The following is a 12399-nucleotide window of genomic DNA, read 5'->3' as shown; positions in this document are numbered from 1 at the left end:
CTGCCTAGGCCAGTGTACCATGCAAGAGAACATCTCGAGGGTTTATTTTATGCCCACACGTCACTGATGCATCTCACAGCCTGGGTTTAAGTCACATAATTTCCCATTAGAACTATGAACTGGAGCAGAGCTAAAAGCAAGGACAAATCTTCACTCTTGTCCCATCTCAGTCACGGAAGAGCTCGTAGCTACCAGATTTTGAAAGAGCCCTGAAGTGTTGCCGGGTCCCAACTGTTACATAAAATATATTTGGTCCGTAGCATTCTCAGAATTTTCACACCCTTTAAGTGGACTGAAATCACTGCTTAAGAAACCGAAAGCCACGCAGGCATGCCCTGGCCATTCACGGGTCCTTTGGTCCACCTTGCATCCCTCAGAAGGTCCCAAGTCAAGGGAAGCACATCACATCTATGACTGAGGAAGTGGGGACCCAACGCCCTCAAAGGCCAGGCTTTCTGTCTGAACCAGAACTTGCTTCAAACACAGAAAGGAGTAGAGGGAGCACCAGCGAGGTGGGGCCAAGGCCTGTGGCCCCTGCAAACCACCCAGGGAGCCTGCACTTCATCCTGTAGTTGATGAGAAACAACAGAAGTGTTTTGCTTCCTTAAATAATCTCAAGCTGCTTTTATTACAGAAGTAATACATGTTTTGTACGGAAAATGTAGAAAACTTAGAAAAGCTCAAACAAACATAAAAATCACATATTAACCCAGTACCTAGAAGGAACCACTGTTATCACTCTGCAGTTTACCTTCAAGTATTTTTCTACACACGCACACAAAAAATATATACATCTTATTTTTCAATCTTATTTTTTCAGTTATGTAGTGAAACAGCTTTTCTGGCGTACAGCCTACGAACTTGAGCGCTTGTGTGGATTTTGTCCTCACAACCACAGCCAGCATACACACAGCTCTGCCACCCAAAACACTCTTCACCCTTTTCTCTGGTGGTCATGCCCTCCCCGACCCCAGCCTCTCCAGCCACCGATCTGGTCTCCATCCCCATGGTCTTGTGTCTTTTTGAGAATATCATACAAATGGAACCAAACAGTACATAACCTTTCAAGACAAGTTTCTTTCACTCACTGTACCGTTTCTGGGGTTCCTCCAAATTACCTGTTTCAATAACTGGCTCCTCTTCACTGCTCAGTGGTATTCCACTGTGTGGACGCACCAGTTTATCCTTAAGGATTATCCAGATGAAGGACACTTGGGTTGTTTCCAGGTTTTGTTTTTTTTTTTTTTGCAATTATAAAGAGAGCTAGTATAATCATTCACATACAGGTTTTTGTGTGAACACAGCTTGCATATCTCTGGGTTGAACACACAGGAGAGGGACTCCTGGGCATAAGGTGAGTGCACATACAAGTCTATAAGAAAGCACCCACCTGTTTCCACAGTGGCATGTTCCCTCCAGCAATGCATGACTTTCAGCTGTTCCTCATCCTCGATGACAGTTGGTATTACTATCAGATTTTTTTTTTATTGTAGTCATTTTTCAATGGGTGTAAGTGATATCTCACTGTGGCTTTAATGTGCATTTCCCTGATGGCTATGCTGAACATCTTTTCATGTGTGTATTTGATATCTGTATATCCACTTTGGTAAAGTGTCTGTTCAAGTATTTTGCCCATTTTCAATTGGCTTGTTTTCTTCCTGTTGAGTTTTGAGATTTCTCTGTATATTCAGAACACACACTGGATATGTTCTTTGCAATATTTTCTCCTAATCTTAGCTTGTCTTTTTTATTCTCTTAGCATCATCCTTTTGCAGAGCAGTCATTTTTAGTTTTGATGAAATTCAATTTATCAACATTTTCTGCTATGGATCACGCTTTTAGAGTAAAAAGTCTTTGCCCAAGTCCAGGTGATGAAGATTTTCTATGATTTTTTCAAGGAGGTTTATAGTTTTACATTTCACACACTTAGATCTATGATCAATTTTAAGTTCAGCTGTGTATGAGATGTGAGGTTGAGGTGTTGTTTTTTAGATATGGATGACAACTATTCCAGTAACATTTGCTGAAAAGACTGTCTTTTCTCCATTAAATTGATTTTTGTACCTTTGTTAAAAAAAACCCATTGACCATATTTGTAGAAATCTCTCGTCTCCATTCCATTGACTTACGTGTCTGTCCCTTCACCACATTGTCCTGATTACTGTAGCTTCAAAATCAAGTAGTATAGTTCCTCCAACTTTACCCTTCTTTTAAAAAATTCTATCAGCTACTCTAGTTCTCTTAGTCCATTTTTGTGTTGCCAAAAAGGAATATCTGAGGCTGGGTAATTTATAAAGAAATGAGGTTTATTTGGCTCATGGTTCTGCTGGTTGGGAAAGTTCAGGATTGGGCATCCAGTGAGGGCTTCAGGCTATTTCCCCTCACGGTGGAAAGCAAAGGGGAGCTGGCACGTGCAGAGACCACAGGGTGGGAGCAGAGGCAAGTGGGCGTGCCAGGCTCTTTTTCACAACCAGCTCTTGTTGGGACCTGAAAGAGCTAGAACTCACTTATCTACCCACGAGGAAGGGCATTCATCTATTCATGAGGGATCCACACCCATGACCCAAACACCTCCCACTAGGCCCCACCTCCCAACACCACCACACTGAGGATCAAATTTCAACATGAGATTTGGTGGGGACAAACCATAGCACTAGTTCCTTTACATTCCATATACATTTCATAATGAGCTTATCTATAAGAACAAATCCTGCTTGGATTCTAATTGGAATTTTATTAAGTCTACAGATCAATTTAAAAAGAACATACGTCTTTACTAGGTTGAGCCTTCTTATCTCTCCATTTATTTAGGTTTTCTGGGGTTTCTTTCATTATCATCTCATCATTTTCAGCATCCAGATCACATTTTGTTAGATTTCTAAGCCTTTCATATTTTTGAAGCTACTGTGATATTCTTTAATTTCTAATTGTACATTGCTAAGATATAAAAATGACTTCTGTATGATGACCTTGCACTCTGTGATCTTGTTAAACTCACTTACTAGTTTTAGGAAATTTTCTCATAGACTCCTTAGGATTTTCTGTAGGTTTTTTTGTAGATGTCCTATGTCATGTTAAATTTCCTTCCCTTTCTAGTTTGCTGAGAATTTTATCATGAACTGATGTTGAATTTTGTCAATTTTTTTCTGTATTGATATAATCATGATTTTTCTTCTTCAGACTGTTAATATGGTAGATTACACTGATTGATTTTCAAATATTGAACCAGCCTTGCATTCCAAGGATAGTTTCTTTTTTTGTTATGGTGTATTATTATTCCTTTTATATCCTGCTGGTTTAAATTTGCTAATGTTTTCTTGAGGATTTTTACATTTATGTTCATGAGGGTTATTGGTCTGTAGGTTTCATATTTTGTGTTAACATTGGTTTTGGTATTAGGGCAATGCTTACCTCATATAATGAGTGAGGAAGTGTTCCCTCTTCTTTTCTGAAAGTTGTTTAGAACTGGAGTTTTTTCTTCATTAAATGTGTTGATAGAATTCACCAGTGAAATCATTTAGGGTAGAGATTTACCTTTCAGAAGGTTTTTAAACTATTAATTCAATATCTTTACTAGTTATTGGACCATTCAGGTTATCTATTTCATGTTAGATGAACTGTGGTAATTTGCAGTTTTCAAAAGAATTGGTCCATTTCATGGACCTTCTTTGCTTCTCACTCTATGTATGTACACTCTATGTACATACATAGAGGGAGAAGAAAGAAAATGATAACTCAAGACTGTTTCAGGAATACAGTTGTTTCTTGGTGTCTATGGGGAACTTGTTCCAGGACCCCCGTGGATATTCAAATCCTTGGATGCTAAAGTCCCCCATATAAAATAACGTGGTTTTTACATACAGGCTACACACATCCTCCGACAGACTTTAAATCATCTCTAGATTACTTCTACCTAATACAATGTCAGTGTTATGTAAGTAGCTGCTATACTGTATTGGTGTGTTATTTGTATTGATGTTTATTGTTGTATTGTTATTTTTATTTTCTGATATTTTCAATACATGTAGGTTGTATCTACAGATGTGGAGCCCACAGATACTTGACCGTACTTCAAATTCTTGTCTTCTTCACCAGTCGATTGCTACTATGTCTTTGTTCCAGAGTCCTCAAATAGTTTCTCCCTGTCTACTCTCCAGGATTTATAGCTGCATTCAGTGGGAGACATGAAAGGAGTATGCCTTCTCCATCTTATCTGGAACTGAAGCTAGGTTACCACTATGTCTAATTTTTAAACACAAAATTGGAATCATACTGTACATACTCTGTACTTTTTTTAAAAACTAGCAACATGTCACCAACTTTTTCCAAAGACTGTTAAAAATCTTTCTAAAACATAATTTTTAATGATCATATGTATTGCTACAATTCTGTTGTTTCCAATTTTCTCCCCATTTTAAACGGTGCTGCCATGAACATTTTTTAACATAAATTTCTGTACAAATTTGATTATTTCCTTAGGATAATTTCATCAAAAAAATTTGGTGCCTGGTCTCTGGGTCCAGCTGCTGGGAAGGAGGACACTGCAGTCTCAGCACCCACCAGCTCCTCCTCCTTCCTCCTCCCCCGAGGTGAATGTGCCCTCAGAAGTGCAAGCTGCTGATTAACTATGCTGCATTTTTTATGACGTGAAAGTTCGGAAATGCTCCACGCCAAAAAAAAAAAAAAACAAGAAAAGAAAAAAGGCTGTCATTTTTTGTCCCAGTGCAGACAAAGTGCATTGTTGTAGAAGGAGGTGAAGAGACCTTGGTTGGAGATGTCTAAGTGTAGCCATAAGCGGTCCTTCAAGCATGTGGTGGCAATGTTTCCTGAAAAAGATGTCTCTGTACTTTGTATGAGGCAAGCTTTAAAACCAAGGAATCCAGAAGAGTTGATGGTTTTGTGTGTGTGCGTGTGGGCACCAGAACTAGCACCTCTGAAAAGTAAAATGATCTACATGAGCTCCAGGGAATGCAACCAAAAAGAAATATCAAGGCATAAAACATGAACATCAAGCAAAGGGGCCAGAAGTCCTCCCTTAGGCCTGTCCCACTGGGAAGCCAGGCGGCCTTGGTTGTGGCCTCTGCAGGGTGCCCTGTGTAGATCGTCCTTCAGTGCCACAAACTGAAAGTGCCCGTGTTTACGCTTATCCTCTTGTTGTGTAAATAAAGCAAATACATTTAGGCCAGAGTCTTGCTGAGGGGGAGCTGTCCCATCATCTACACCACACATTCTATAAATATGTGCAAACAGCCTTAAATACATCCGAAGTCTGAAGTGTTATTGGTATGAAATTAAATTCTTACTGGCCACGTGCCTGTTTTCATGAGCTGACTTATAAAGACTTTCGTTAAGCTCAGGATTTGTGATAATACAGTCAATAAAACAGTACAAGGCTGTGTGAAGAGAATTATTACATCTTTGTTAACCTCAGCAGTTACTTTGTTTCTTTTGCTTAGAAAATTCGTCATAATGTGGTTGTAATTTTGGTCCAAATTCTTTATTCTTCCTTGAGCTAAAGAGAATAACGGAATATAATATGTCCTCATCACATATTGACAGCACGAATACACTAACAACAGTAAGACTGAGTCTGGCAGTCTTTTAATTCTACCAAATGTGCAATGGAGATCCTCAGTGACCTTGCAAAGCGTCCTGAAAGGTCCAGGAGGCAGCCCCTGCACCTGCAGTGCCACTGGCTAGTGGGAGACTGCTGAGTGTGCAACCTGCTTCTCGGAAATCGTGGCGTGGCCTCAGGAGAACAAGCAAGATCCTGTAACAACTAATGATAACGCAAATTAGGGCTCAATTGTCACCTGCTTTGTTAACAAAAATGATTAAATGGTCTGTTGACAATCTAGGACACCTGTGGTATCTTTACTTGCGTCTCCTTCAGAACTTTGCTGCTTCTGGAAAAACAAAAAAATTTTAATGCTCTTTGACTTATTCTGCCCTATTTTCCTTCAAAAGGCTTTACCAATTTACACTGCCAAAAAAAGGGCATGGCGGTGCACACTTCCCCACAACCTCAGCATCGGGAGCATCAGATATTAGAGGATTGCTCAGCCAACTTCCCAGGTCAAAACTATTACAGTTACTTTCAAATTGTTGGTGGCATTGAACAACGTTCAAGCTCCTGGCCTCTGGCATTTCTCTGCCTTTCTAGTCCCTGCTCACCTTCCATGAGGTTACCTTTATCTTATGCTTTTCTTATTGCAACTCTTTACGTCACACAATTCTTTAGCTGCAATTCTTTAGTTGCATTTACCATTTAATAGTTTTTAGCTGTGCTAATGTATGAAGGGGAATTTTTTGTCAAGTATTTTATTTGACAGCTTCATTATGAACTTGGTTCTTAGAAAAACCTTTCCCATCCTAACAACAAATAAACTTGTAGCAATTTTTTTGTTTCCTCCTTTTCTTAAATATTTAACTCTTGAGCCCATCTGAGGTTTATTTTAGCAGATGGTGTGAAGAAGGGCCTCTTTTCTCCAAATCAGTCGTTCCAGCACCATCTCTGAACAACTACATGCCCTTGCTGCACTGACTGAAAGCTGCCCCTCCTATGCTAAACGCACATGCACTCTTCTCTGTCTTCAGACTTTTACTACATGTCAGCGTCAGAGTAGGAAGATGGGCCAGGAGAGATGAAGGCCTGAGGGCTGAGGGGCTCTGAGAACAGGCAGACAGCAGGCAAGGAGGACATGAAGAGGGACAGACGCACAGGTGCAGGGGAGAGGCAGACAGCAGGCCAGGAGGACGTGAAGAGGGCCAGACGCACAGGTGCAGGGGAGAATGCGGCAGCTCAGGAGAGGCGCAGCCTGGGGACGGAAAGTGAAGGTGGGTACAACCGCACCAACGACTCCCAGATTCATACCCTCCCTCCCTCAAATCCGACCAACCCTGTGCCCCAACAACTATCGCCATAGGAACTCTTGCAGCCCCGTCTGCCCTGTTCTGGGCCTCCTTGGCCTGAGTAATGATGGTGGTGGTCCCTCAGTCTCCCTGGGGGGGAGTCTGAAGTCGGAACTGCCTCAAGCCCTCACCTGCAAAGCTCCGCCTTCCCCCTCCACTGCCTGCACTGGAGAAAACCACCACATGGTCCTGTCTGACTCACCCCAGCACTCCTCCAAATGTCCTGCTCAGGGTGGCCCCTCCAGGCCATCGCCCACCGAGACCCCAGGCCATGTCCCCACTGCCCAACCAATAGCTGGCCCTGCACATCGGATGGGCATCCTATGTTCAAGACCCACACAGATGTCCACCCTCCCCAGGGCCCTCCCTACCCCGGCCCCCAGCCAGTCCTGGTGGCCCACTCCCTGCGGCTCAGGGCTGGGAGGCACCGTCCTGCTCACGCCAGGCCCCCATCAGCACATCCTGCCTGCTGGCCCTGCTCTGCATCCCCCACACCTGCCCCATGCCAAGCCCTGGCTCCTGCATCCTGACAATAAAGCCATGGTCAGTCCTGGAAGTCTGTGCACCTCCCACACAGAGGGGCCTCCCCTCACACAGAATGTCCCAGGCCTCTCTGCATGCTGGGGCTGGACCACAGCCAGTCCCTGGCCTCCAGTCCCGGCCACACATACCCAGGGGCCTCCAAAACACAGCCCACCTCTTACTCCATCACTCACACACCAGTGGCACTCCCTTCGGTGTCCAGGACGTGGCACAAAGTCCTCAGACACACAGTTCCCTACATCTGGCCTCTGCCTCCCTGATGCAACACAGTCTGGCCAATCCGGCCACTGGGCAGCCCTGGAACACGGCAACACGGTGAACACAGTGGCTACTCCTCTCCCCTCCCTCTGCCCCACGTCCCTCCTGTGTCCCTCTCACCCAATCCAGGGCACAGCCGGACACTCCAGCAGCCAGGCTTCCCCGTATCACCGCCCACACAACCTTGGCCTCACCACAGCCTCACTCCTGCTCTGTCCTCTTTTTGTCCCCGTGGCCGGGGCACCAGCTGTCAACAGATACTTATTGAATGGGCGCTGCTGTTCAGGGCAAAGGCAAATGCCCCTTCAGGGGGTAGGAGTGGAGCCCGTTTCTCCTGTGTGTCATCTTATGGCTCCACAGATGTTATTAATAAGCCAAGTCACAGCATGGACATTGAGTCTATTTACATTTATCTTCTGACAACAAAATTTCAACAGGACTAAAAGCCCAATGCCATCTGTTACCAGGGGAAACCGTTTCCTGGAAAGCAGCAGCCATACTCCACACTCCTTCACCCAGACCCCATCTTTCTGGGTCTCTACACTGAGACAAAGTTTCAGGTTGGGATGCTCCACTACAATGTCCTGTGTCCCAGGATGCTGAGCCCAGGAAGACAGCGCGGGCAGACAGCATCCAGCCACACTCCCGTCAACTTCCCTCCAAGCAGACAGCGTTTGTGCAGGGCATATTCACAGGCAACCAGAAAACAGTCCACTTCCACCCACATGTGAAACTCAGGGTGAGCAACCCTGACAGGACAGGCATATGCTGGCCCTACAGATGCCCAAGTGGCTTCACAGCATCACTGGGGCCAGTCTAAGGCGAGGAGACCCTGGCCAGGGACGAAGGCCCTACTGGCATTAAAGAAACAGCCTTACCTGTTAGGCACAGGATTTTTACAGATCCCCGAGGAGAACACAGTTCATGTAAATCACTCATGAAAATGTTACATGAACTTTGACTTAAATTTCTCATAAAGGCATTTTTTAAATCAGGTGAAAATTCAAGACACTGAGCCAATGTCCACACAAGAAATTAATTAGACCTCACATTAGGGAAAACATCAAAATGAATCACGCACGACCCTTGAGATCCTGAGGTTGGCCCAGCCGAGCCCGTGCTCAGAAGCCCCCCAGCTCCGGCCCCCAGCTGCCCGCACGCCCGCCCTCACCAGCAGGCAGGTCCCCATCCACTCAGACACCAGCACGTCCACCTTCTCGGGCAGCACCACATCCTCCACCTTCTGCTGGTACACGGTGATGATGTCAGCAAAGCCGTTCTGCAGGACCAGCTGCCCCGTGTGCTGTGCCATCTCACTGGCCTCCACCGCGTACACCTGCAGCAGCAGAGGCACCGTCAGCGTACATCCGGCCGGCACACGGCCCGTCATCTACTCTCCTGAGTCACAACCAGCATCACGAGAAATGGTCAATGACACAAGAGGGAAGCAGCATTCCAGACAGCAGAGGCAGCGAGGACTGGCCACACCTGCCCCTCCAGGGGCACCCAGAAAGGAGCCGCCTCTAACCCTCCCAACTGCCCCCACCTCCCGGACAAGACACAGACGCAGGGCTGCAAGTGGATGGAAGACTCGCATGCCCGAGCCGGCTGCCACACGCACAGCAATCTTAATCCATGACCAGCACAGCAACTTCTTAGCACCCAAGTGACAATGCTGGTCTGTGCCACATCTGAGGCCTGTCAGACAATTTCAAACCCAGGTTCTCAGGGAAGGGTCTGGTGGGAAGCACCCAAGCGCTGGGTCCTGGGTCCTGCAGAGCCTGGACTTGGGTGGACACTGTGCTGCGACCCCACCCACTGTGTAAGGAGTCTCCAAGGCTGCAGCTCGGCTCAGCTCAGCACAGTATAGACGGCCTAAGAGGGGTGGGGAGGGGGCCCAGCGTGTGCATCCCTCCCAACCCCATGAGACCAACCACACCCAAGGCCCAGCACAGACATGTGGGTGCACGTGTTTCTCTACTCAACTGAAATAAACGTCTCACAGAACATACCCCGCCCCACGCAATTCACGGGATATTGTCTATTCTGCCCTACTCCCGTCTGTGCTGTCTGCGACTCATTGTACGCGGGCGCCACGGCCTCTAGCACGCGGTCTCCACGCACTGCTATTTTACCGACCCTGAGCCCCACGTGCAGGGTGCTCAACAAGACCATGGAGTCACCGGTGAGCCCCCAACAGCTCAGGGTCACAAGTCAGCACACTCAGAGGCCACCTCGGACGTCACCAGCCTCGGCACAAACACCCGGGATGCGCTCGAGACCCCACTCACCGCTCTAGGCCGCGCATAGTGTGCACAGAAGAGACTGATGATCCCAGTCCCACAGCCCACGTCCAGGATGACTTTATCCGTCAGGGATTCTTTATTCTGCAGGATGACACTGTGGTATTTAGTTGTTCGTGGCTGGTCTGCCAACATCTCCAAGTGGAGTTTCTGGAAGAAATGCACATTCAGAATCACTGCCTGTGACCTAGAGCCATGCTGAGGTCTGGACTGAGATGGAGGGTCAGAGCCACAGCTGATGACCCCTGACCCCAACACCCCTATGGAAGACTATGGAAGGCCTGGACATCACTGTCAACCAAGTTAATCTCATTGGTATTTAGAGAACACTTCACCCACCCCCTTATAACAGTAATAATACACAAAAAATACCTAGGAACAAATTTAACAAGAAAGGTGCACAACCATGTATGACAAAGAGATATTGTCCTTATCTTAAAATACTAAGAGATATTAAACAAAGCTTAAGTAATCAGAGACTGAGAGTCAATGTTATAAAGATGTCAGCTCTCCCAAAATTAACATAAACATTCCATGCAGTACCTACTAAAGGAGAAAGCACAACAAAATGATAATAAAATTAGTTTCAAAACAGTAAGTGCCCAAGGCTAATGAGGAAAATGCTTTAAAAAAAAAAGAACTGCTGGAGACCTAGCTCTTGCAGATCCTACAAAGGTGCAGTGATGGAAATGACGAAGCACTGGGAACTGCAGTAAACAGACCAGTGAAACAACAGGAATTCTACAGCAGACCCCTGAAATCCAGAGCAGGACAAACGCACCGTTTCACATCAACGCGAAGGGAACTGTCCAGTAACTGAGGCTGGGGTCGCTGGAGATTTGTGGGCATACATTAGGGCGGAATTTTACATTATATTTTTTACAACAAATAATTTCTAGATTTTTTATTATTTAAAATCTCATTGTTTAAAATAGAATCAGAAGGCCAGGCAGGGTGCCTCACCCCTGTAATCCCAGTACTTTGGGAAGCTAAGGTGAAGGTCCCTTAAACCCAGGAGTTTGAGGATACAGTGCACTATGACTGCACCACCGCACTCCAGCCACTCATACGACAGAGTGTGACACCATCTCTAAAAAACATAAAAAACAAAAATAAAATAACACAGAATCATAACAGTTCTGAAAACAAAAGTGTGGGTATTTATAATCTTATAGTGAGGAAGGTTTTTCACAAAGAAAAGAAAAAGAAGTCACAAAGAAAAGAAAACCATATTAGGCTATACAAAGAAAAAAGTTGTACGTGGGAAAAAATTTCACAAAGTCACAAAACTTCACAAATTCAGGCTAAATTACTTAACACACGAATCAACAAAAATCAAAAGGGGCAAATAATATGAAAGTTTACAAAAAAAGAAAAAATACAAAAGGCCCATAAACACATAAAAGATAATCAATCTTACTTAAAAAATGGAAATCAAAACTAAAAGATGCCATATTTAACTTTTAAGATCAAAGTCCTTTTTCACTTTGATTTGTGGTAGGGAAATGAGCTTTCACACACCATCATGCCACGGTCTGAAATGTCTCCAAAAATCCATGTACTGAAACTTAATCGTCAGTGTGATGGCATTAAGAGGCCACCTTTGGAGGTTACTATGAAAGGGTTTGTGGTGAAAGAGGTGCTCCCAGCCCTCCCGCCTTCACCACGTGAGGACAGCCATGAGGCGCCATCTTGGACACCAATGCCAATGCCTTCCCAGCCTCCAGAACTGCGAGAAACAAAGCTTTGTTCTTCATAATTCACTCAGTCTAAGGTATTTTGTTACAGCAGCACAAACAGACCAAGTGTATAATTAGCAAATCTTTCTGGAGGGCGAACTGGCAAGATCCACTTAAGGAAACCACATGTACACACTACACACACACACCCCGTAGGAATTTACCCTATAGAAATTCTAAACAGCATTTAACAGGATTATACAGGACTCCATTACAGCATTATTTATCATGATAAAAAGCTATTAAATAACCACTGTCCAAATATCAACAGGACCCTTTTAAAGTAACACAACGCTCTGCAGCTGTTATAAAGAGTGACAGGTGCCAATATGAGAGATCTTCAAAATACTACAGCTACGTGAAAAGAGCAAGGTGAAGACCTGAGTGGTGGAACAATGCCTTTTCTATACATTAAAAACGTAAAATACATTAGGTGTCACTTGGACTTCATAAGCACAGAGGAATCTGGTGGGCAGTGGTTCTTTGAGCTGAGAGGCGGCAGAGGTGGGAGGCTGGAATTGGCTTTTCATTATGTATCTTTCCTTAACGGATAGAAATCACTAACCATGTACAGACATGAATAGTTTTTAACACTTTTAATTGTGAAATATGGCATACCTGCGAAAAAGTGCAATAAAAAGTAT

General features: G+C 44.8%; 1 protein-coding gene and 1 pseudogene across 15 annotated transcripts in view; one reads left to right on the top strand and one right to left on the bottom strand.

The window, feature by feature from the left end:
• The window catches only part of PRMT2 (protein arginine methyltransferase 2), a 29451-nt gene that overhangs the window by 6501 nt on the left and 10551 nt on the right, over nt 1-12399 (bottom strand). For 11 of the 15 annotated variants that reach the window (NM_206962.4, XM_006723998.5, XM_006724000.4 and 8 more), the window contains 2 exons: nt 10005-10166; nt 8885-9049 (listed from right to left, as the gene is read on the bottom strand). In NM_206962.4, the coding sequence (NP_996845.1) occupies nt 8885-9049; nt 10005-10166 (327 nt within the window). Of the gene's footprint in view, nt 1-3526; nt 6819-8884; nt 9050-10004; nt 10167-12399 lie in introns of those variants that run through there. The other 4 variants (XM_006723999.4, XM_047440761.1, XM_047440760.1 and 1 more) reach the window with 2 other exon arrangements.
• Nucleotides 4509-5494, top strand: DSTNP1 (DSTN pseudogene 1; annotated as a pseudogene).

Source organism: Homo sapiens, chromosome 21, assembly GCF_000001405.40.
Source record: "Homo sapiens chromosome 21, GRCh38.p14 Primary Assembly".
NCBI lineage: Eukaryota > Metazoa > Chordata > Mammalia > Primates > Hominidae > Homo > Homo sapiens.
Note: the sequence above shows the minus strand (reverse complement) of the source record. Positions and strands in the feature narration are given on the sequence as shown.